We start from the raw sequence: 25,953 nt of genomic DNA on the forward strand, positions 1-25,953 counted from the left end.
CCTTGGCCTCCCAAAGTGTTGGGATGACAGGAGTGAGCCTCTGTGCCTGGGGGAGCATGCATTTCTAAACCTTTCCTCGACATTTTCGGATCAATGCAGTATAAGGAAAAACATGATTGGGAAATACTCTGGATAGTTTTAGGTATTTAGATTTTGTCAGTCTACTCTTTTGATAAGTAATTCAATATATGTTTACAGGAACATTGTTTTGAATGGGAGCCCATTTCTAGTGCTACCAGTTTTTATTTTTGGTCAGCTTCCCTTTCATCAGTGGGGATGCATACCCAGCTGGCAATTACGCCTCTTTTAGAGGTCATTTGATCCAGCCTTACACTGTGACAAGGCTCTGGGTGTACTGCTGAGGGAATAGTTCCCCTACTGTGCCAGTTGGCTGATTATCTGTGGTTATCCTGTGTATAAAGCATTTTTATAAGTTCACAGACCTCTCTGCTCAAATGTCAGGTCAACATAGAGGCCTCCCTGACCACCTCTAAAATAGCATCTGCCTCCTGTCTCTCTTCATTCCTTTTCCCTACTATATTTATCTTCAGAGCACTTGTCACCACTTGACACATTATATATTTATTTGTTTACTGTCTGTCGCTCACCTTCAAAATGTAGTCTTCAGGAGAAAAGGAACTTGTCCTGTTCTCTGCTTTTCTTTCTCTTCTTTCTTTCTTTTTCTTTCTTTCTTTCCTCCTTCCTTCCTTTCTCTTTCTTTTTCTTCTTCCTTCCTTCCTTCCTTCCTTTCTTTCTCTCTCTCTCCTTCCTTCCTTCCTTCTTTCCGTTTCTTTTTTTTTTTTTTGAGACACAGTTTCACTCTTATTGCCCAGGCTGGAGTGCAGTGGCATGATCTTGGCTCACTGCAAGCTCTGCCTCCTGGGTTCAAGCGATTTTCCTGCCTCAGCTTCCTGAGTAGCTGGGATTACAGGCACCCACCACCACACCTGGCTAATTTTTGTACTTTTAGTAGAGACAAGATTTCACCATGTTCCCCAGGCTGGTCTTAAACTCCTGACCTCAGGTGATATGCCTGCCTTGGCCTCCCAAAGTGCTGGGATTACAGGCATGAGCCACCATGCGCAGCCTCCTGCTATTATGTGTGTTGCCTGACGTGTTGCCTGACATGTGCCTGACATTTGTGTTGTCTCTGACATGTGGTGTTTATAGAACGAATGAATGAAATGAGGGAGTGAATGAATAAATTCTCCCACTGCTAATGGAGGGAGGAAGGAGCAATCTATACTTGAAGAAGTAGAAGGAGCAGGAAGGCCAGGCGCGGTGGCTCACGCCTGTAATCCCAGCACTTTGGGAAGCCGAGGTGGGAGGATCACCTAAGGTCGGGAGTTCAAGACCAGCCTGACCAACATGGAGAAACCCCGTCTCTACTAAAAATACAAAATTAGCTGGGGTGGTGGCGCACACCTGTAATCCCATCTACTCAGGAGGCTGAGGCAGGAGAATTGCTTGAACCTGGGAGGCGGAGTTTGCGGTGAGCTGAGATCACGCCACTGCACTCCAGCCTGGGCAACAAGAGCAAAACTCCATCTCAAAAAAAAAAAAAAAAAAAAAAAAAAAAAGAAGGAGCCGGAAGGTACTCAGGGTATGCCAAGATCTCCATTTGAGCCAAAGAGCAGAGTTAAACAAAGCTAACGACCACAGCGACTCTGTGGCGGGGATATATATGTACCAGTCCACAAATGTGCAAGGAAAAACAACTTCATTTTTCTATAAGTCAACTCAGTTTCTATTCTGAGGCTTGACTTTGACAGGATGAGGCACTTAATAGCTTTAGAGTTGTAGTCCTGCCCCACCTTTGCCCAGAGGTGAGGGGTCGGAGTTGAGGTGCGCCCTACCTGTGCTGGGGTGTAGTGTCTAGTTCATCCTCAGATGCTGAGACAGTGCTCCTGCCTCTCCACACAGGCCAGAGAGACCAGCACTCAGTGGCACCCTGAGCCTCGCCCACCAGGATTTTCCTTTCATCAGTTTTTCCTTGCTCACCCACTGGGTGCTATGACAAGAAGGTGCTTTCTCTACAGCTATCTTCTGCTTTTTAGCCATGGCTTCAGTTTCTGTTCTCAATTCCAGGGTAAGTTTCAGTTCTTTATTTTCATCCCTGATGTAAGACCTGATTCTGAGGTCTAATGATTTGGTAATGAAATGAGGTAGTTTTGCTTGGAGACTCCTACACTGCCCTTTTTTCATCATGAATGTTTTAGAACATTTCCTAACTAAGGCATTTCTTATTAGTATTCCTCCTAAACCAAGTACTTTGTTTCACTTAAATGATGAGTATATATATATTAGAGCCATATTGGTTAATACAGCGTTGGTACTTGGATTTCTTTCATTATAAATTAATTATTTATCTAAATAATTGAAAAAATCCAATTTAAATGGAATCATAGTACTAAAATTTTGTGAGGGAATTTTTAGCACTATTATTAGACACTGTTTTACTTTGTCTGCAAACTGGGGGTTTTAATATAAAATGTTAGGAATTAAAGTAATCGAGGTCAGTAGCCAGCAGTGTATGTCAGTATCATCTGTGGGGGCTTCTTAAAATACAAAAGCCTGGGTCCTATCTGCAAAGGCCCTGATTTGGAGAGTTTCCTGGAGGTCTGAACCCTGTATCCCACGGACCACAAGCCAAAAGTCCAGTCCAGCCCCCTCATTCTTTTTACCGATGAAGAAACTGAAGGTCCCAAAACCACAGGAATTTGTGTAGCCTCCCACATGCGAAAGAAGTGGTTTCAACAAGTACATCCCAGCAGACTCTGACTCCAAAGCCGGGGTAAAGCTTTCTGGGTGACGATGTTTAAAACAGAACGCGATGTTTGTCATGTCTTTGTAATTCTGCAAGTGAAAATGATGAAGATATTCTTTTTACTGGAATCAACCCTCGGGTGGTCAGGTTAGCAGTTCCCAAAGGTCATATTTACATTTTAGCCGAGCCAGTTGTCTAAAGAGAAAGTGTCTTTCTTCCCTGCCTGTGGTGAAGCTTAAGTTTACAACAGGACTGGGGGCATGCAGTGGACACAACCATGATTACGAGAGGGTGGAGAACGCAGGGGACCAGCAACCCCATCACGGCTCAGGGACCCTCACGGGACTTGATGCTCAGAGAGGCAGTTGACACGTATTGCAGGCACACTGGCTGAGTTCCTTCAGGACATGGACAGAGGAGGAGGCCCCGTGACACAGACTCATCTATATCATTGATGTCACTCTCCAGAGAGTTTAAACATGGGCCCGCCTGGGCGTCAGTGTATTCTCACCTGCAGCTAGGATTGAGAACTTTTGCTTTGGGAGACTTTCATTATCCTTTTATGTACATTACTAAAAAGTAGGAGATGGATTGCAGATAATTTAAGATGCCCAACACCACTGCCCTACATGCACGCACATGCATGCCCACCCATGTTAAAGAATGAAAGCCCAAGCCCACGTTATCAACATATCTTAACAACGAGGCCTTGCAGAGTGGTTTGGATGAAGTTGCCACCTTCTTCTTGGTCTAAATGTCTCACTCAAGTAGCCTAACCTTCACTTGGAGAGTAACTGGCTACTTCTCAGTTCTTGCTGCATTCTCTGGCTGGAAGTTGAAGACCACCAGCCACCAGCCCACCAGTCCACCAGCCCACCAGCCTACCAGCCACTAGCCCACCACCCACCAGCCCACCAGCCCCTAGCCCACCAGCCACCAGCCACCAGCCACCAGCCCACCAGCCCACCGGCCCACTAGCCACTAGCTCAGCAGGCCACCAACCACCGGCCCACCAGCCCACCAGTCACTAGCCCACCAGCCACCAGCCACCAGCCCACCATCCCACCAACCCACCAGCCACCAGCCCACCATCCCACCAACCCACCAGTCACCAGCCCACCAGCCCACCAGCCCACCAACCCACCAGCCACCAGCCACCAGCCCACCAGCCCAGCAGAAAAGACAGGATATAGCTTCTCAGTAACTTACATTAGTTCCCTTTCTTAAGAAAATCTTAATATTTGGTCTTTGTATTTGACACTCCTCAGCATCACTACAGTGCGACTGCAGGTGGATTTATTTTCATGTATTCTGCTCATAATTCGTGTGCCTTTTCAGTTTGAGCACTCACCCTTCTTCAATTCTGGTGAATTCTCCTCCATTATCTCTTCAATATGTTGCCTCTCCCTCACTCTCCCTATTCTCTGCTTCAAATCCCTATTTAGATTTATATTGAATTTGTCATTCTACTCTTCACATTACGTTGATTTCACTTTCATAATTTCTGCTCTTTCTCTGTGTTTTGGTCTGATTTCCTTAGAATCATCTTCCAAACTACAAGTCCTCTATCTAGTCATCTAGTTTAACTTGCCTAGGGAGTGTTTTAACCTTAATGGCTATTTTATTTCTATTTGCTTCCTTATTTTCCCCAATATCCTCTCCCTGCCCTGTGGATTCTGTCCTTTCCTTTGTTTCTCTGAGCATCTTAAGCCTCTCAGACTGTTTAATCATCATTAGGTTTTGCAGTGTGGGTCCCACCATTGGCTGTGTCTGCTGAGTCTCTCTTCCTTACGATCTCATGTAGACATGAATAGTCACCTTACACTTCTTCAGTAACATAATTCCAGTTTTTCAAGATAATATTCACTGTCTTCCTACACTGAATGCTCAGTTTACAGACTATTCTTCCCACTGATTTCCAGACCTCACATTTCGTGTGAGATAGCTCATAGTGTTTTAAAGCCCTGATTGGAGGAGAGTACTGTGGGCTGGCTCTTCTATAATTAAGATTGGGATGGGAGAAAGGAAGAAGAAAGCATGTTTCGAAATAAATTTATCAACAAGGTTTAGCAGATGGCAATTTGATTTTTTTTGAAAAAACAATAACAACAGCTTGCTAGGATGTTGTAGCTACATCACTATGAATGCTAGATTTTAAGGTTAAAAAAAAAACCCTAAAAATCTTTATTAAAGGACATCACATGATTATATTTTCTTAATGGAAAATTCTTATGTTTCTGGCTGTTCCCCATCAGAGGTCGTTTCTAGACTACTAGACATTGGTGCTTCCCTTTTTTTGTGTATTCTTGGTGTTGCTATGACAGTCCATCAGTGTGCAGGGATGAAACACAATGTCACACCAGTTGAGAAGACACAAAACCCTTGCCTTTGTCCTGGAAACTGAGCTTCTATTCATGCAGCCCAAGATCATCAAACCATTTTAGATAACATCACACCTCTGAGTATAAGGTTTAGTTATCTAAAACCTTGAAGATCTCACATAGAACCTGCTGCCTGGACTCTGGAGGCAGCTGGTTGTGGGACTGCTGCTATCTCATCATTGCGACCTCAAGGGACATGTATAGAGACGGCGTGATGTGCTGTTGCACTCTCAGTATCCTGCCATGGCCCTTGCCTGGGTCTTGAATTTAGGAGCCAGTCACAGAAGGAAATGGAATGAGCTTAGGCCTCTGCCCAGAAGGACTGTCATCTTTCTGAGGGAGGAACTCTGGCCTATGTGAAACAATGGGGGTACATGGCCAAATGCTCATCACGTGGGCCAGATGAATGCTACAGGAGGGAAGGGAGAGGCCAAGGGTTGGTGAAGCTTCACAGGCAGACTCAGCTTGAATCTGGCCTTGAGGGATGAGTTGGGCCTGTGCATACAGCCCTGGAGGTACATGTGAGGATGGGTGCATGCTGGCAGCTCAGGCTGCCCCTGGGTATGAATGGGTGGACAAGTGTTGGTCATGGGTGATAGTGACAGGCAGGAGGTCAGGGGTAAGGAAGCTAGAGGGGAGCCTGCTGATAACTGACTGAACATAGGAGGGGAGGTGGTGGCAGGCAGGTGACAAGCAGGAAAAGGTAATAACATAAACAGCCACTGCTCACTGAGTGCTTTCTATGTGTCGGGCTTGGTAGCTCTGTTACATGAATTATCTCATTTAATCCCCACACATCCCATCAGGTAGAGGAGGCTACTATCCTCATCTTCCAGATGGGGAATCTGAGGCTAAAGGGAGTTAAATGAGTTGCTCCAGGTTATACAGATAGCAAGTGATAAAGTGTAGATATGAACCCTGGCCATCAGGCCCCAGAGTTTGTGCTCCTAGTCATCATGAAATACTGTGCCTCAGAGGATTGCAGTGACTTGTCTTAATGCTGCTAAATATTGCAGGGTGGATCATCTTGGTCATGATCCTTGATTTCCACTGGCTGTCATCTTTGGAAGTAAGAATTGCTCACTCAACGGTTATGATGCTGCCAATGCCTGGCCTTATATTGTGCGTTGAGGACATCTAGATGAATCAGATTGGTCACTGCTCTTGAGGAGGTGACAGTCCCCACAAGGAGGTCACAAGAAGAGCCATGTAAACATATAATTATATTGCAGCATGGCAAATGATGACTCAGTGGATGTTTCTACAAAGTGCTCGGGAATCTCAGGAGAAGGAGTGGCCAATTCTATGAGAGGGAGGTGGGGAAGGCTTCAGGAAGATGAAGATGGTTAGGATAAGTTTTGAAGGATGAATAGTTAATCAGATAAATGTGGGAGCGTAAAGGGTTTCAAAGCAGAGGAAGTAGGGTTCAGAGGTGTGGCAATATGGGAGAGCATGGCAGGTCAGAGAATGGGCACAGCTGGAAGATATCCAAGCATAAAGTCCAAGTCTCAATTATGTTCTGCAGATTACTGTCTCTGGGAGAGTTGAGTTCTGCAGTCAAATGTGTGCTAGGATTATAGGTGTGAGACACCGCACCCGGCGTCTCCTATCTGATTTAAAAGACAATTGCAATAAAGCAATAATTGTAAAACTATGTTGATAGGTACACAATGTATAAGGATATAATTCACATGACACAGACAGCACAAAGGAAGGGGAGGAAACAGAGCTATGTATAAGCAAAGTTTTTAAATCTGATTGAAATTAATTTGGTATCAATACAATTTGATTTTTATAAATTAAGAGGCTAATAGTATCCCAAAGGCAAACACCAAGAAAATAACTCCCCAAAATATAGTTAAAGAAGCACCAGCCAGGCATGGTGGCTCATGCCTATGATCCCAGAACTTTGGGAGGCCAAGGTGAGTGGATCACCTGAGGTCAGGAGTTGGAGGCCAGCCTGGCCAACATGGTGAAACCCTGTTTCTAATAAAAACACAAAAAAAATTAGCCAGGCATGGTGGCGTGTGCCTGTAATCACAGCTACTTGCGAGGCTGAGGCACGGGAATGGCTTGAACCTGGGAGGCAGAGGTTGCAGTGAGCCGAGATCATGCCTCTGCACTCCAGCCTGGGTGACACAGCGAGACTCTGTCTCAAAAAAAAAAAAAAAAAGAATGTCATATGTCATATAAAGGAATCATGCAGTATGTAACCTTTTGAGGTTGGCTTTTTTTCTTTTTTTTTTTTCCTTTTTTTTTTCTGGAGACAGAGTTTCACTCTTGTTGCCCAGTCTGGAGTGCAATGGCGCAATCTTGGCTCACCACAACCTCCATCTCCCAGGTTCAAGCAATTCTCCTGCCTCAGCCTCCCAAGTAGCTGGTACTACAGGCATGCGCCACCACACCTGGCTAATTTTTGTATTTTTAATAGAGATGGAGTTTCTCCATGTTGGTCAGGCTGGTCTCGAACTCCCGACCTCAGGTGATCCGCCCACCTCAGCCTCCCAAAGTGCTGGGATTACAGGCGTGAGCCACCTCGCCCAGCCGAGGTTGGCTTTTTTTTCACTCAGCATAGTGCCCTTGAGGTCCATTCAAGTTATTGTATGTGTCAGTAGTCTATTCCTTCTTACTGCTGAATAGTATTCATGGTATGAATGTACCACAGTTTGTTTAACCAGTTACCCATTAAAGGACATGTGGGTTGATTCCAGTTTGGGGCTATTATTTAAAAAGCTGCTAAGTTGTCTCTTCACTTTCTTGGTAGTATCCTTTGAAGCACAGTAGGTTTTAATTTTGGCTAAGTCCAATTTATATGTATATTCTTTGGTTGCTTGTGCTTTTAGAGTTATAGCTAAGAAAGCATTTTTCTAATCCAAAGTCATAAAGATTTACCCTTCTGTTTTTTCTAAGAGCTTTAGAGTTTCAGCTCTTAGATTTATGGCTTTGATCCATTTTGAGTTAATTTTTATATATACTGTGAGGTAAGGATTCAGCCTCATTCTTTTTGCAGGCGGATATCTAGTTTCCCAGCACTATCTGTTGAAAAGAATCTTCCTTCTCCCATATCAATTTTTAGAATCAGCTTGTTAGTTTCTTCAGAGAAACCAGTTAGGATTTTGATAGAGATTTCACTGATTCTGCAGATCAAATTGGAGAGTACCGCCATCTTAACAAGATTGAGTCTTTTTATTAAACTCTCTCCAAGTATACAATGAAGAACTTTTTCCCAGGGCCATTTGACAGTAAGTTGCTGATCTGATGCCCCATCACACGTGCATGTATTACTTACAAAGACATTCTCTCTTTTTTTTTGAGAGAGGGTCTTGCTCTGTCGCCCAGGCTGGAGTGCAGTGGTACGATCTCGGCTCACTGCAACCTCTGCCTCCTGGGTTCAAGCGATTCTTCTGCCTCAGCCTCCCGAGTAGCTGAGACTACAGGCGCCCGCCGCCACGCCTGGCTAATTTTTTCCACTTTTAGTAGAGACGGGGTTTCATCGTGTTAGCCAGGATGGTCTCAATCTCCTGACCTCATGATCTGCCTGCCTTGGCCTCCCAAAGTGCTGGGATTACAGGCGTGAGCCACTGTACCTGGCCCGACTCACTTCTTAATTTTAAATTTCTAGTAGCAGAATTTCATGGACTTAGAGTAAGGAGGAACATTTTAACATTTAAGCTGTTTAAACTGGGATGGGCTGTGCAGGGAGCTGGTAGAGTGCGGTCGTTGGTGAGGGTCAAGCACTGGCAGTGTTTTCATGAGTCAGGAACAGTGTAGAGGAGACACCCATGCTAATGTCCTGGAGCACTAACCACGTGCCAAGCATGGCGCCAAGTTAACCTCTAAGCCCTCAACAACCCTATGAGGTAGTGATATTATTGTTGCTCCTTTGCAAATAAGGAAACTGAAGCACTAAAAATTATTCAAAAAAAAACAAAGACCAACTGACATTGGGGTGCTGTTATGTAACCAAATCTTAGAAATCAAAAATTGTACAGTAGATGTTGGAGCTTTGCTCTACACTAAGGCAGACTAAAGTAGTTGGCCTTGCCACCCCACCTCTCCTTACATTTTTAAAAAAATTATTCTTTTAAATAGTTTTTCATTTTCAGTGACTAGTCACCTAGGGGCATGTCCAAACTCTGTCAGGTGTGACAAGTCACATTGTCTGTGATTCTGACATGGAATGAAAGGTACAAATTAGTTATAATTGGCTATTTGTATTTTAACATAAAGTTAAAATAAAGTGTTATAGACTATGTAGAAAAATGATTAGTCAAAGACATTAGAAACTTTAAAAAACAGCCAAAAACCCAGAAACAAGTAGAACACTGATCAGGAAATGGGAAGTCTTTCTAAGACTGTGAGTGAACTGAAATTTCTGTATGTGTGGTCTCCTTCCATTCCTTGTGGTACAATAGAAGTGAAATTAATGGTGAAGAAGGTTTCTCGAGTTAGGAACAATCCCTGTCATTGACACATTCCTCCTTTCCCCACACTGGGCACCTTCTGCTATACAGTCCCCCTTGGCCCCTGACCTCACAGTCTCAGCCCCTCACATGCTCCCAAGCTGGCCCTCATTCCAACAGCCTTTTAAGCAGCAAGTTGTGAATCAGGGTGTGTCTGAGCCTCCCAGAGTTGCTGTAAAAAAACACTGCAAACAAGGTGGCTTCGAGGAACGGAAATGATTATCTCACAATTCTGGAGGTTGAAAGGACGGAATCAAGGTGTGGACAGGGCCACCTCCCTCTGCAACCTGCAGGGAAAAGACCTTTCCTTGCCTCTCCCTAGCTTCTACCAGTTTGCCAGCAGACGTTGGTTTTTCTTGACTTGTAGGTGCATTGCCCCAATCCTCCCTCTTCACGTGGCCATCTTCTTTCTGCGTGTCTGTCTCTGTGTTCAGATTTCTCCTTTTTATAGGGATACCAGTCATACTGGATTAGGGCCCACCTGAATGACTGACTTCATTTCAACTTGATTACATCTGGACAGACCCCATTTCCAAATAAGGTTACAGTGCTCACACTGTACAGGGGGCTAGGATGTCAGTCAACATATCTTTTCCGGGGAACACGATTCCACCCATCACTGGGTGCTAGGTCAAGGGTTCAGTTCTATGTCCTTCAGCACTTATGAAACTGAGAGGACCCCATGGTTCTGCTTCCTCAAATTACTCCCATCTTTGGGCCTGCCCAGGACCAGGCTGCAGTGATGCCAAGTGCCTGGGCTCCCAGATAACACAGCGGGCAGGCCGTCTCTATGTGAGTAACGCATCTGACGGCTCCCCAGGGCTGGAGATTACCCTGGAGCCCTCCGGCTTCATCTGACCAGGTCTCCTTGCTTTCCCTTCACTTGAAGGGCTATTTTTATCCTGTTGTGCTGTGTGTTTGCTCTCACAATTCTCCTCAACTGTTTCAGGGAGGAAATAAGGTATAAAAATAAATTACATGAATGGCAATTCCCTACCACAGTTTGGTGGCTTCATTACATAGCAGCACAGGGGCAGGCTATGAATGCCAGGGCCCCAGTGTTGCCATGACAACAGCAGGGCGCCGCCTCCTCCACTTGGCCCTTCCCCAACCTCCATTCCCAGTGCCAGTTCAGCCTCATGCCTCTGCCTTCTGAGAAGCCACCCCTGAACAACAGACAGGGCTGCAGCCCTCCTCGTGCTGTCCCAGAACCCTGGGCCCTTCTGGCCACTGCACTCACCGAGTGGCCTTCCCTTAGTTCTGTCTCTCTAGAACACAAGCTCCTAGAAGTCAGGGACCATGCCTGTTCCATCGTTTGCTCCCATCAGCATCGAATTCAGAACTCTACCCATAGTAATTGCTCAAGAAATGCTAACGAATGGTAGAAGGGAAAAGCCTATGGGGAATTGCCACAGCAGACTGGAGGACCAGGAGCTGTGATCATGGAGGGTGTCCCCAGAGCTGCTGTTATGTATTGCCACATGTACCTATTTAAATTCAAGCTTAGTTAAATTTAAATTAACTGAAACTAAAAATTCACTTCCTGGCCGGGTGTGGTGGCTCACGCCTGTAATCCCAGCACTTTGGGAGGCTGAGGCAGGTGGATCACCTGAGGTCAGGAGTTCAAGACCATCTTGTCCAATATGGTGAAACTCCATCTCTACTAAAAAAACACAAATTAGCTGGGTGTGGTGGCACATGCTTGTAGTCCCAGCTACTAGGGAGGCTGAGGCAGGAGAATTGCTTGAACCCGGGAGGCAGAGGTTGCAGTGAACCGAGATGGCACCACTACACTCCAGCCTGGCCAACAGAGTAAGACTCCATCTCAAAAAAAAATTCACTTCCTCATTCCCACTGGCCACAAATGCTAAATGGTCACATATGGCTAGTGACTATCATATTCGACAGTGTAGCTGCTGAACATTTCCATGATCACAGAAAGTTCTATTGGGCAGTGCTGCCCTAAGAGGACTCCATAACCAGTGTCCCTGGGGTGCTCTTGCTGCTTGTTAATTGCACTCCCAGCCCATTGGAACCATTTAACTAGATTTAACACTAGGAACCAAAGAGAAAATGTCAGCAGTCTATCCCTCTGTCAGGATCATGAGCTAATGTCCCCTCACCAGAGAGAGGAAACACAAGTGACTCCTTAGTTTTTCAACAAGCCTCGACCTTTATGCCTCCATGTCTTTGCATATTCAGTTCCTCTGCCGGGGAAGTCCACGCTGATGAGAACTCCTGAGTTCTTATCTATGCTTCAGGTGAAGGCAGAAATGCCTGTACATGCATAAATCCTTTTCCCCCTCATCCTCCCCTCAATTGTGTGTGTGTGTGCGTGGGTATGTAGAATCTATCTTCTCACACTACATCCTCTCTATCTGTTATGCGGTGGCATCGAAATTGATGAGCAGATAATGTGTCGTAATTAGCCCAGAGGCAAAAATCAAGCAGAACCAGAAGTGCCTTAGAAAATCTCTTAAATCTGCTGCAGAGCCTGCATCCTTGGTTTCATTTATGCAAAGCTATACAGAAATTCTTATCCTCATAAGAGAGGGTTCTACATGAAGAGAGGTACAGTCATTGGATGCAGGCAGGCTCTAATGATACAGTCCATTAAAATGGAGACCAGGTCTGAAGAACCCCTGAGCAGACAGAACCATAAGTCAGGCCTCACAAATGACCACGACCTTGCTTGATTTGTAAACATAAGCAAAACTTAACTCGAGCTATTTCTTGTAAATATTTGTATTAAAGGAAAACAGAACTTAAGCTCAACCAGTCAGAAGCATCCAACAAACTTGTAATTATATAACTAGAGACTTTCCAACAGGATAGACTAGGGGTCCCCAATACCTGGGCCGTGGACTGGTACTGGTCCGTGGCCTGTTAGGAACTGGGCCGTGCAGCAGGAGGTGGGTGAGCAAGGAGTATTACCGCCCCAGCTTTGCCTCCTGTCAGATCAGCGGTGGCATTAGATTCTCAAAGGAGCACAAACCCTATTGTGAACTGTGCATGAGAAGGATCTAGGTTGTACGTGCCTTATGAGAATCTAATGCCTGATGATCTGAGGTGGAACAGTTTCATCCCGAAACCACCCCACAGCCTTCCCATCTGTAGAAAAGTTATCTTCCATGAATCCAGTCCCTGGTGCCAAAAAGGTTGGGGACTGCTGTTCTAGTGGATTCTTTTTAAAGTAAACTTTTTGGCCTGATGCGGTGGCTCACGTCTGTAATCCCAGCACTTTAGGAGGCCAAGGTGGGCAGATCACCTGAGATCAGGGGTTTGAGACCAGCCTGGCCAACATGGTGAAACCCTGTCTCAACTTAAAGTACAAAAATGAGCCGGGCATCATAGTGGGCGCCTGTAATCCCAGCTACTCAGAGGTTGCAGTGAACAGAGGTCGCGTCACTGTACTCCAGTCCGGGTGACAGAGCGAGACTGCATCTCAAACAACGACAACAACAAACTTTTTAACTGAAGTTTCAGGTTGTGATACAATTTATGTTGTGCTGGCCTCTTAATCTTTTTGTCTTTTCTCTGTAAAGGTTTACATAATATCGTGGGATATTGGGAGAAATTTTCTATTGGCACCATCAGAGCTTAGCTTATTCTTTGTGACAGATTTTAAATTATATATTCATTTTTACCTAATAAATATAGAATGACTTATATTTTTTATTCCTCATTGTGACTATTTTGGAAAATAGTGCTTTTCGAGGAATTTGCTCATTGCATCTAAATGTCTAAGTTTATTGGTATCAAGTTATTTATATTGCCTTCTCATTATCCTCTTATTGTCTTTAGGATCTTTATAACTGTATGTTGGTGTTTTATGCTTTTTCTCTATTTTTCTTCATTGGTTCAGGTAGGAGATTATCAATTTTATTAGTCTAAAAACTAATTTTAGGCTTCTTAGATTTTTAAGTATTGCATGTTTGTTTTTTATTACATTGATTTTTGTTCTTTATTATTTTCTTCTTTCTATTTCTTTTGGTTTTAATTTGATGATTATCTTCTAGGTTTCTTGAAATAGTTACTTAGGTAATTGCTTTTCAGCCTTTTTCTCCCATTATAAATGCATTTAATGCCACAAAGTTCCCTCTAAGTATGACATTAGCTGAATGCCATACATTGTCTGTTTTTTTTATCATTTAAAATATTTCATAATTTCCATTGTGATTTCTATGTTGACTTCTGGATTATTTAGAATAATCACATTTTCTTGTTAAATTGACTCTTTTATTATTATAAAATGTTCTTTGTCTCTAATAATAGTTCTTGTCTTAAAGTCTACTTTGTCTGATATAGCAAAGCTACACAATTTACTTTTGGTTATATTTTTTCTATCCTGTTAATTTCAACCTTTCATAGTTTCTATATTTAAAATATTTCTTTTAAGCAGCATAGTTTTTGGCTCATTTTAATTGAGTCTGACAATGTTTTCGGTTTTTAATTACTTAGTTCATTTACATTAATATAATTAATTCTATATCTGGGTTTAAATCAACCGTCTTATCCATTTTTCTATTTGTTCTATATTTTCATTGTTTTTTAATATTTATCCTTTCTTGACTTCTTTTAGATTAACAACCTTTTTTTGGTTGTGTTTTTGTTATTCCATTTCATGCCCCTTCCTTTATTATTAGTTACATATTCTCTTATTATTCGCTTGCCTTAGAGATTGCAAAATGCATTTTTGACTTTGTGAGTGTCCCTTAAATTAATGCTTTCACCACTTTTCAGACAGTGCAACGACCTTAGAATGCTTTATTATATGTAGTTTTGGAGACAGGGTCTCAGTCTGTCACTGGGGCTAGAGTGCAGTGGCACAATCACAGTTAACTACAGCCTCCACCTCCTGGGCTCAAGCAATCCTCCCACCGATGCCCCACCCCACCCCAGGGAAGCTGGGACTACAGGTGCGCATCACTGCATCTTGCTAATTTTTTAGATTTTTGGTAAAGACAAGGTCTTGCTATGTTGCCCAGGCTGGTCTTAAACTGGGCTCACGGGATCCTCCCACCTCAGCCTCCCAAAGCGCTGGGATTATAGGCATGAGCTACCACACCTGACCAGAACACTTTGATTTTATTACCTTCTTCTTGCCTTTTATACTATTGCTGTTATGTGTTTTAATTGAACATATAAGATCCTCAATAAAAATACTATTTAAAACTCAGTATTGACTTAGATTTATCCTCATGTTTCTGCTGGTTCTCTTCATTCCTTCTTGCACCTCCAGCTAAGATCAATCTCTACCTGCTTAAAGAAAACCTCTTCAGTTCTCTATTAGTGGACTCTGCTGGTAATACAGTCTCTCAGGTTTCTTGATTTTTTGTTTGTTTGAGTTTTTGAAAATGACCATCTCTGCAGCTTTTGAATCCTGTTTTCTCTGGGAAGAGAATTTCAGGTTGGCCATTGTCTTCTTTCAGGACTTGAAAGATGACAATGCATTTCTTTGGGCTTTTACAACTTCTGTTGAAAGTTAACTAGAAGTGTCATTGTATCTTTGAATGTAATGTGTTTTTATTCCCTTTTCTGTTTTAAAAATGTCCTTAAAATTTTCCCTTTATCCTTTTTACAATGTGCCTGGGTGTGGTTTTCATTACATGTATCCTGGGAGGATTCTTTAACCTGTGACTTGATATCTTCTATCACTTTTGGAAAATTACAAGCCAGATTATCTGCAGTGCATGTCAGACTTTTTCACCACGTCCCAGATGTCTCTTATGCCCTTTTTATATTTTCTACTCTTTGTTTTTCCTTTCAGGACTTCAATTTAGGTATTTTCAACTTACTTATTTTCCCATTCCTTAATTCCCTCTCCTGGGCTCAGTCTGGTGGTATTCTCATGGGGAAAGCTGGTCTGATACTAACCAGCCCATCGTAACTGAAGATATCCTCTGCAATCATTTTAAACTCTCTGGTCATTTTAATTTCACTTTGCTCACCTTTCTCAATTCTCTCTCCCCTTTATCTTACCGTGTTTCCAACTCAGTTTCTTCTCTTGAGTATTGCTTCACTTCTGGGCTCAAGTGATCTTTCCACCTCAGCCTCCCAAGTAGCTTGGACTGCAGGCATGAGCCACTGCGCCCAGCCTGTGTTTCTGAAATGGTTTCACTTTTTATCTCCCTGCTTTTCCATGCTCTGCCAACTCACATTTCATCTCTCTCTGTGCCTTGCCATGTCTTTCCTGGGCTCTCGAATTTGTGTTTCATGCTCTCCTTTGAAAAGACTAAATGCTTCATTAATTGCTTTTTTAAATTTCTGGCACTGCGTTTGGTTAACTTTTCATCTGTTTCATGGCAATGGCTTTTTTGGTGAGGGTTTTTCATGCCACTTCTCGACTGTTACTTTCATCTTTTCCTTTATTGTGGTATCTTTGTTTAGATCCTATGACTTTTAAGAAAAAATATTTTGTAAAGAGGTGAATTCTTCCTAGAGGCTTAGATTGAAGAGGGGCTAGTGCTATGTTCCCGGCTAAAGATGGCTGTGTGTGTATGTGAGAAAGTTCTTTTATCCTCTATTTTTCCCAGATACCATAAGCAGGGTAAGACAGTTTGCACCATGCTGCCTCACCATCAGAATGCCAGCCTAGCTTGTCTGTGTTTTTTCTCACTCAGTCCTGCCTTTCTTAGTTGTTCAGACTATGGATTTAACCAGCCTAGGGAGTCTCCAGTCACAAACCTCTAGACTGTTCCTATTGGTCCAAAAAGGGGCTGTTGGCTTTGCTACTCAGGGCATGTCCCTTACTTTGAGGAACTAGGCTTTCCTGGTTTGACTGATGGTTCCATCTGTGGGCATCCTCTCTCATTATCTTCCCACACGCCTGCTTGACCTTCACTGTATTTGGAAGTCCTTCCTCTTCTATTTTGGTTCAGGGTTCAGATGTCTCTTAATTTCTTTCAAGATAGAGTTTTGTTCCTGTTTCTTATTCTCCTTCTCACTTTTGGGTGATTTCTCAGAGAAGAGGGAAATGGTCCTCTTTATGCCACATTTAAAAACCACAGGCTTACCCTCAGAGTCTTTTGCATTCTGCATTATTTTTAGTTTCAGTTCTGTATCACATATAATCTTTTTATGTTTTTAGAGACAGGGTCTCACTCTGTCGCCAAGGCTGGAGTGCAGTGGCATGATCATAGCTCACTGCAGCCTTGAACTTCTGGGCTCAAGTGACCCTCCCACCTCAGCCTCCCAAGTAGCTGGGACTACAGGAATGAGCCACTGCATCCAGCCTGCATCATACATACTCTTTTAAGAGTCATTTAAGATTAGGATTAGGGACCTGAATTCAAGTTTAAATTCAGTCTTGCCTGGTGCTACCAATGCAAATAGCTCAACTGAAGTGACAGTCAAATCATCTGATACGGTCACACATGGCTAAACTTGCATATGTGCAGGCAATGACAACCCCCTCGCAGTATACTTCTCTGTCTGACTGCTGGTAAGTGTCATTTGACATGAATGTAAGATGCTTCCCAAAGGCAGGAATGTAAAAATGTGAAAAAATGGCGTATGATATTTCAGCTGGGGCTGAAGAATGGTCCAGCAGGCTGGCAAGGACAGTGAGCATGGAGCAGACAGATGCAGGCAGACAGAGCTGCAGCAGCATGGGGCTTACCTGCCTTCCCTGGAGCAGCATCAACTTTTGAAAGGCTGAAATTTCAGGGAGGGTTTAGGAATCAAATAGGAAACAATCCAATTGGGGAGAAAACAGTGTTCTGTGACACTTGACAGCTCATTTTCTATTGAATTGAATGCCAATTCTTTGCCTCAGAAATGAGCTCTGCCCTCAACTTTCCAACACACCTATTGTCTTCTCATTGTCTGCAGAACAATGCTTAAATGCTATAGCCTGCCATTCAAATCCCTCCACTCCATGAAGCCAAAATGAAAGGGAAGGAATCAGGTTAAAAAGCCAGGCAAATTCCCTTCCCTCTGAGATTTGGCAGCATCCTCTCCCCTCCACCCCTGCTGCGTGCGACTGGTCTAAGCTGTTCACCAAGCATGCCTTGCGTTTGTCCCATACCAGTGCCATTGCTCATTCTGACTCTTCCACCATGATTCCTTCTCTTCCCTGATAACCAGCTCTGCTGCTCAAAACCCTGCTTATCCTTCAAAGCCCCACAGGCCTTTACTGATTCCCCAACCGGATATGAACTTTCTGTCTACCTCTGGGAAATTTTTCACAATCTTTTTAGATCAGGTACTACTCCCTAGGAAGCAGGACTATTACTCTGACACCTCATCTCGCTCCTCTGCCCTGCCAAACCAGGCTCAAACTCCTGCTGTCCTGGCTCTCACTGCCCAAACCCATTTTTTATGCTCAACTGGACTTTCAACTTTGTTCCTCTATGCTTCTTGCTTTGACCTGGAACTTTCAGATTTGGGGCCTACCGTTTCCATCAGTGTCTTGGTAGTCCTAGCTCCTGCCTATAAATGTACATATATTCCCTTGATACTACTGTACTGACAAACCAGTCAATGAGTTTCCAATTTCCAGAGCCCTTTACTCCAGCAGCCATTGCTGCTGCCCTTGTCAGACCCCAGGCCACAATCTCCCAGCTGCCCACTGAGCACTGCTGGCCAGGCTTTAGCCATTGGATCATGTCATTAACTTCACGGACACAGAATATTTTTCTTGGATCTGAATTCTTTGTGTGTTTGTCTCACACTTTTGACCTCTTAAGGGTGGAGTCTGCAATGCCTGACACAGTGCCTTGCAAACAAGAGCTCAGAAGATATTAACTCAACACTGTTTGAACACGGGCACCTTAAGGTGACTCGGGCAGCTCCCAGTGGGTTCCAGCCATGGCCACACCTCAGGGTGCTGCTCACCCACAGCTAGGCGCAGGTTACGCTGTCTCTTAAGGTTGATAACTGGACACTTCCAGAATGAAAAGGACCAAATGTCCCCATTTTGAATGTATGTCCCCTGCTGTGTTCCCAGGACCCGTCAGTCTCCTCCTTTCCTGCTTTTGCTCAACTTGTACGTGACCACCAGTCACACCAGAAAAAAGAGACTCTCTCTGGCTAGCCTGCAGGGTCCCTGAGGCCAGGTGCTGGGGTTTTTGTATGTCTGTACCTCCCCAGGGCCAAGCCCCTGCCTGCTCCGTGCTGGGCCTAGAGTTTGCACTCATTACAGTTTATGGCTTGAACACTTTCGGCCCCAGCCCGTGCCCTCTGTTCGTGCCATGTTTGCTTTCGGTGGTTGCTAGAATCTTTTTTCTCTCCTTTAAATTTCTGCCTGAACATTTTATAACATTTGCATTTTGATTTTTAAGTATTAATGTATTCTCCATTTATTATTGATAAGAGAAAAGGCGGAAGACAGAAGGGCCTGTGGGAAACTGATGGCATCACCCAGGGGTCAGACAAGCTTCTGTTTGAACCCTGCTGTGCTAGTTCTCTATGCTATGCAGCTGATTACCTCAACGTGATTCATAATAACACAAGTATTTCTTATTTCATTTTCAGTGAGGCAGGAATTTAGGGGTGACTTAGCTGGGAGGTTCCAGTTGAGAATTTCTCATGTGGTTGCAGTCAAGATGTCAGCTGAGGCTGAGTTATCTGAAGGCTTGACTGAGGTTGGAAGATTCACACCTAACATGGGTCACCCACTTGGCTGCTAGCAGGAGGCTTCAGTTTCTCGCCATATGGGCCTCTTCATAGACAGTGTGAATGTCCTCATGACTTTCGGCTAACTTCGCCCTAAGCAAGCACTCCGAGAGACAGAAGGCAGAAGCCACATATCATTTATGGCCTAGCCTCAGAAGCAATATACCATCACCTCTGCCACATTCCCTTGGTCACATAGACTGATCCTGATTCAGTGTGGGGGGCTGGGACTGTGGAAGGGCATAAATACTGGAAGTAGGACTCATTGGAGGTCATCTTGGAGGCTGGCTACCACACTTGCTTATCCAGGGAGTGTCTTTGTGCAAGTTATTTAACCTCCCTAAGCCTCAGTTTGTGCATTTGTAAATAATAATATTTACAGAGATTCGTGAAGATTAAATACTTATGAAGTCCTCTTACAAAGTGCTTGGAACTGCCCCAAGGTCTTCCCACATTTCCCAGGACTCCTCCAGGAAAGCCAATTGCAGCTTCTCTTTTAGAAACCCTCCATCCTCTGCTCTCACCTCCTCCCCTATTCATCCTTTCCCTCCTCACTTGTCAGGAAATTTTCTAATCTGACAGGGTTGTTGTGGGGGTGAGCCTCCTTCTTCAAACCTCATGTCCCCAAATACATGTCTATGCTTTGGTCCTCCGTGTTCCCCTAGGGACCATGCTTTGGAATCCATGCCTTCAGATTACTGCAGCCCCAGCTGACACTTTGACTGTATCTACAGCAGAAATTCTGGACTGGAACCACCCAGCTGAGGGACTCCCAGATTCTTGCCTCATGAAAGGTGTGAAATAAAAATCTTGTTTTAAGTCACTTTGGGAAGAATCTTGCTGGTAATTTCCACCGTCCCCCACCATCCTATCATCTCCCTGACCATATCAGGACTGAATATTTGCTTGGGAAGAACGCCAGAAAAGAAAAAAAAAAAGTTTTTTTAAATAATAATAACCCCAAAATTGGTTATTTTAGAAATCTTATTTTACCAAACACAGGATAAATATAAGATATCATAGGAGTTTCACTCACATCCATGTGAAGAGACCACCAAACAGCCTTTGTGTGAGCAACAAGGCTGTTTATTTCACCTGGGTGCAGCGGGCTGAGTCCAAAAAGAGAGTCAGGGAAGGGAGATAGGGGTGGGGCCGTTTTATAGGATTTGGGTAGGTAAAGGAAAATTATAGTCAAAGGGGGTTGTTCTCCGGTGGGCAGGGGTGGGGGGTCACAGGGTGCTCAGTAGGGGAGCTTTTGAGCCAGGATGAGCCAGGAGAAGGAATTTCACAAGATGATGCCATCAGTTAATGCAGGAACAGGCCATTTTCACTTCTTTTGTGATTCTTCAGGTACTTCAGACCATCTGGATGTATACGTGCTGGTCACAGGGGATATGATGGCTTAGCTTGGGCTCAGAGGCCTGACAAGAAGTATCTCCTAAATTTGACTGGCTTCTTGGAGGAGATTACTATCAAGTGCAAATGAGAGCCACCCAGTGTCTTAGTCAAGATTCTCCAGAGAGACAGAACCAATAGGCTAGACATATAGATGATTGGATAGACGATAGATAGATAGATAGATAGATAGATAGATAGATAGATAGATAGATACATAGATACATAGATACATAGATAGATACATAGATGGAGTAGGTAGACAGATACAGAGGAGGGATTTTATCAGGGAAACTGGCTTATATGATTGTGAAGGCTGAGAAGTCCCATAACAGGCTGTCTGCAAACTGGAGACCCTGGGATGCCAGTAGCCTGGCCTAATCCAAGTCCACAGGCCTCAGAACAAGGGAAGCAGATGGTGGAACTCTCAGTCCAAGACCAAGGACCTGAGAACCTGGGGAGCCTCTGGTGCAGGTCCTGGAGTCCCAGAGCTGGAGATCCTGGAGTTCTGGTGTCCACGGGCAAGAAAAGAAGGGTGTCCTGCTCCAGGAGAGAGAGAGGAAATCACCTTTCCTCTGACTTTTTTGTTCTTTCTGGGCCGCAGCTGATTGGATGGTGCCCACCTACCTTGAGGGGAGATCTTCCTCATTCAGCCTATCAACTCACACTCCAGTCTCCTGGAGACATCCTCACAAACACACCCAGAAATAATGCCTTCCTAGTTCTCTAGGTATTCCTTAATCCATCTAGGTTGACACCTAAAATTCACCATCACATGCAAAGTATCAGTTCCTAGGCTGCTGTAACAAAGTACCACCAACTGTGTGGCTGAAGATAGAACTGTGTTGCCTCGCAGTCCTGGAGGCTGGGAGTCTGAGATCAAGGTGTCAGCAAGGCCTGCTGCCTCTGAAGCCTGGAGGGGAGTCCTTCCTTGCCTCTTCCTGGCTTCCAGGGGTCACCAGCATCTGTGCTGTTCCTCGGCTTGCAGCTGCATCACTCCCATCTCTGCCTTTGTCATCCCATGCTGCTCTCCCTGTGTGTCTGTATCTTTGCATGATGGTTTTAAAAATAAGGACATTATCATATTGGATTAGGAACCTACCCTACTCCAGTATGACTTCATCTTAACTAATTATATCTGCAAAGACACTCTTCAAATAAAGTCACATTCTGCAGTACTGAGGGCCAGAACTTCAACACATCTTTTTTGGAAGAGCACAATTCAGCCCATACACTTGGAGAGGGATGGGGTGGGCCCTGGATTCGGTTTCAGCTCCTTGTGTAGAAAGTGACTGTGTAAACTCAGGTAGGTGTGGAGTATTTCTGCCCCTGCTGCCAGCAGGGATTGAGCTGGGGTGGGGGTGGTTGGCCCCAAGCTACAGGGGGAAGATAATCAAGGAGGCTAGGGGATCAGGGTGACCCGAAGTGAGTCAAAGACAATAGTCAGACAGTGAAAAGGAAGACTGTCCCAAACGGAAGCTGGGACAGGAAGGGAACAAAGAAATGAGTATGTTTAGATTACCAGATACTCTTATAAGTTGAAATGTTGAAACACTTGAAAAATGACAATTATTTAGGATGGTAGGAAGAGGGAGGCCCAGGCAGAAGCTTCAGATACCTTTGTATGAGATAGTTGTGGGAATAGAATAGACTTCCAGAGGCATGTTCTCGGGACTTCTGGAGATGGTGCCTGCTGTCGGGGCACAGTGTGGAGAAACACTCACCTCTTTGAAAAGTAACAATGGAACAATTTTTTTCTCTCCTGGGAGGCAAAGATGAAGGCTTATGTGCCCCAGCGTGGAGCCCTCTTCAGCTAATACTCACTGTCTCACCTCCTTCCCCAAGTGGCTTAAACCAGTCAAAGGCCACTTTTGGCTTCAGTAATGGCTCCCAGACTGCACTCGCAACTTAGCCTACTCCCATTATCAGCCAACACCCACATTTTGTTCAGTTGATTTATTTAATTAAATTAATTAGTTAATTAATTTATTTACAGACAGCGTCTCTCTCTGTCACCCAGGCTGGCATGCAGTGGCATGATCTCGGCTCACTGCAACCTCTGCTTCCTGGGTTCAAGCGATTCTCCTGCCTCAGCCTCCTGAGTAGCTGGGATTACAGGCACCAGCCACCATGCCCAGCTAATTGTTGTATTTTTAGTAGAGACAGGGTTTCACCATGTTGCCCAGGCTGGTCTTTAACTCCTAACCTCAGGTAATCCACCCGCCTTGGCCTCCCAAAGTGCTGGGATTACAGGCGTGAGCCACTGTGCCCGGCCAATTTATTTATTTTAAAAACTCACTCTGCAACTCCAAAGTGGCTGCTTGCTATCTTGTGAGCAAAACTTGCTCATGTGAAAGGAAAAGAAATCTCAAGACCTCAAAATCACAAAGCCAAGGGAAAAGTCAAGCCAGGAACTGCATCAGGCAAACCTGCCTCTCATCTTATTCCTAAGTAAGATAGCTACAAAGATTAAAAAAAAAGCTATATACCTTCCTCACAATTTGTCCACAAGAAAATTCCTTGTAGGCCTTAAGATCTTCACCCTAAAACAGTTCTCTTGAATTTCACCCTGGCAGTGTAAACTGATAGCTTATCTTCACAGGTACGGGACAAAAGTCATCCCTCCGCTCACCTGAGACAAACGCATATTTGATTGCTTCCTCTGCCTTATTGTTTATGTAAAAATACAGATTCACTGAGCCAGACTAAATTGTGTATTCATTGAAAGGCTGATCAAGGACTCAAAACAATGCAAACTTTTGTCTCTTTTCTACCTTTGTCTCTTATCTACACTCCCCTCCCCTTACCGGACCAAACCAATGTACATCTTACACATACTGATCGAGGTCTCCTGTCTCCCTAACATGTATAAAAGCAAGCTGCACCTTGACTACCCTGGACACATGTCGTCAGGACCTCCTGAGGCTGTGTCATGGGCACGCCCCTTAACCTTGGCAAAATAAATGTTCTAATTTGATTGAGATCTGTCTCAGATACTTTTGGATTCACATCCATCACTAAAGGCAAATTTCATACTGACTGCTTCATGTAGTAATTTAGGCAAGTTTGGAGAGACATCTGTTCCTGTGAATTCTATAAATATTTTCAAATTCATCCAATCTTTCAAAAATTACTTGAGTGTCTACTATATACCTCAAAATGGAATGTAAGGTCAGCCGAGAGAGAAAGGACAAGACAGAGAGAGGCCCAAGTCCAGGCAAGCCTTTGTTAACCTGCCGGCTGCCCTCTTAACAGTCAGAGGAGCAGCCCTGAGCTTACAAAATGAGGGGTTTATAGTGGGGAGGGGAGTTTGGGGGAGTCCTTTGGCATGGCCGCATCCCGGGGTTGTTTGCTGGTTAATTTTACCACATACTGCCTTGTGACGTTTATGGTAGAATTTACAGGAGGGTGTAGGTAAAGTTGGTTTATGCTTCCCACAACCTCCCACTGTGCGGTCCGATGGCTTGTAATTGGGGTTTGCTTATCGCAGCAAGGCCTGGTAGGTGAAGTCTGCTGGCTTCACCACGGCACCTAGATAAGGGCTTAGAAGTGTAACGGGGCTCAGGGGGAAGGGTGGGCGGCACGAAGGGTTGCAGAGCATAAGCGGGAGGAGTGGGCAGCACGGAGAGGTTTGGGGGAAGTGTCGGCAGTACCAAGAAGCTTTTTTGGGGCAGTTCGTCCCTAACAGAAATATTCTGCCTTTCCTAAGGAATTACTCACCTGGTTTGTAAACTTTACATATGTGATATCTTTGGGTAAGTTTTTTAGTTTAAAATACTTCTATCTTAGCCTGTTTATTTCTCTCTAACCTAAGTCCTTTCTTGCTGTCTTTTTTTTTTTTTTTTAGTTTAGCAAGGGTAATTTTAGAAAACGATTTCTAAATTAGAAGTAAAATTCTTAACAATAACTTAATAATAACTTTTTATTTATTTGAGACGAAATCTCGCTCTTGTTGCCCAGGCTGGAGTGCAATGGCGTGATCTCGGCTCACCACAACCTCCGCCTCCCGGGTTCAAGCAATTCCCCTGCCTCAGCCTCCCAAGTAGCTGGGATTACAGGCATGCACCACCACGCCTGGGTAATTTTGTATTTTTAGTAGAGACGGGGTTTCTCCATGTTGGTCAAGCTGGTCTCGGACTCCCGACCTCACGTGATCTGCCCGCCTCAGCCTCCCAAAATGCTGGGATTACAGACATGAGCCACCGTGCCTGGCAACAATAACTTCTTAAGTTTGGATCCTCTTTCAAACTCATCATTAAGAAAAACATTTTCAACCAAAAGCCTTAGACTATTGAAGCAAAGTTGTTTCCTAATTTGGAAAACTTGTTCTTGGAATAGAGAAGCCTTTTTCACATTGGAGAACTCACCAACACGAATTGTTTTGTTTTTAAAGGGGAGCACAAGATGCATCTCAAAAACATTATGCTGGCTAAAAGAAGCCAGACACAAAAGAGTATATTTATATGAAATTCTAGAAGAGTCTAAACTAATCTATAGTGACAAAAAGCAGATCAGTGGTGGCCTGTGGCTGGGATAAGGGAGAGGGCTGACTGCAGAGAGGCTAGAGGGAACTTGCTGGGGGAATGAAATGTTCTATATCACGATCGTGCCAGTGGATACATAGATGTCTACGTTTTCCAAAACTTATCAAAGTGCACATTTAATTCTATGTAAATTACACATCAGTAAAATTTAAAAGCAAGAACATAAATGCAACCTGGAGCTAGGATCTGACTAGACAGGAATTTTGAAAGAAATGAAAGTATATATATGTGTGTGTGTGTGTGTATATATATATATATATATATATATATGTATGTATATAAAATATATCCTCTTTCTGTTTTTCTTTAAAGAGTTTTATTGAAGTATAATTTATGTACCATAACACTCGCCTGTTTTAAGTGTACAATTCAATAGCGTAGTAAATGTATGGAGCTGTGCAACCACCATCATAATCCAATTTTATAGTGTTTCCATCACCCCAATAAAATCTTTCATGACCATTGGCTGTCAGTCCCCATTGGGCTAAGCAAGCACTTTTAATAGGCTGAGCTCATGTGCCAGGGAGCCTGTGCAAGACTCCAGCCTCCGTGGGCTCGGCTTTCTTTGGAGCAGCTTCAAGCACCGTCCCTCAGGGGCCCCACACAGGCAGGCTCTTCACCTGCTTGCAGTCACAGGTGTGATCTCTACTCTGTTCCTTGGGTCCCCAATGCACAGGGCATGAGGAAGACTGTGGCTGTCCTTTGGGGGCATCCTGCTGCTCTCTGCACCCAGCACTGTCCAGTCACAGGGCAGCAGAACCTCTCAGTCCCTGCTGTCCCAGCTC

General features: G+C 44.2%; 7 annotated features.

Annotated features, from left to right (window-relative positions):
* Positions 1,776–2,235: an enhancer, noted in NCBI's record as "active region_16252". NCBI's record gives its function as "activates an Ori minimal core promoter by ATAC-STARR-seq in GM12878 lymphoblastoid cells {active_cell/tissue: GM12878}" and the evidence as "EXISTENCE:reporter gene assay evidence [ECO:0000049][PMID:35858748]".
* Positions 5,804–6,177: an enhancer blocking element, noted in NCBI's record as "374 bp MIR2 fragment used in the reporter constructs". NCBI's record gives its function as "blocks activation of a CMV promoter by a CMV enhancer when located between the enhancer and promoter in transfected HEK293 cells; also blocks activation of a somite promoter by a CNS enhancer when located between the enhancer and promoter in zebrafish midbrain {active_cell/tissue: HEK293 | midbrain}" and the evidence as "EXISTENCE:reporter gene assay evidence [ECO:0000049][PMID:26216945]".
* Positions 5,863–6,116: a mobile genetic element.
* Positions 6,062–6,063: a transcriptional cis regulatory region, noted in NCBI's record as "B-box mutated nucleotides". NCBI's record gives its function as "necessary but not sufficient for MIR2 insulator function in a zebrafish reporter assay {active_cell/tissue: midbrain}" and the evidence as "EXISTENCE:site-directed mutagenesis evidence [ECO:0005528][PMID:26216945]".
* Positions 16,230–16,289: a silencer, noted in NCBI's record as "silent region_11797". NCBI's record gives its function as "represses an Ori minimal core promoter by ATAC-STARR-seq in GM12878 lymphoblastoid cells {active_cell/tissue: GM12878}" and the evidence as "EXISTENCE:reporter gene assay evidence [ECO:0000049][PMID:35858748]".
* Positions 16,680–16,799: an enhancer, noted in NCBI's record as "active region_16253". NCBI's record gives its function as "activates an Ori minimal core promoter by ATAC-STARR-seq in GM12878 lymphoblastoid cells {active_cell/tissue: GM12878}" and the evidence as "EXISTENCE:reporter gene assay evidence [ECO:0000049][PMID:35858748]".
* Positions 16,940–17,049: a silencer, noted in NCBI's record as "silent region_11798". NCBI's record gives its function as "represses an Ori minimal core promoter by ATAC-STARR-seq in GM12878 lymphoblastoid cells {active_cell/tissue: GM12878}" and the evidence as "EXISTENCE:reporter gene assay evidence [ECO:0000049][PMID:35858748]".

This window comes from Homo sapiens, chromosome 2, assembly GCF_000001405.40.
Source record: "Homo sapiens chromosome 2, GRCh38.p14 Primary Assembly".
In the NCBI taxonomy this organism is placed as follows: Eukaryota; Metazoa; Chordata; class Mammalia; order Primates; family Hominidae; genus Homo; species Homo sapiens.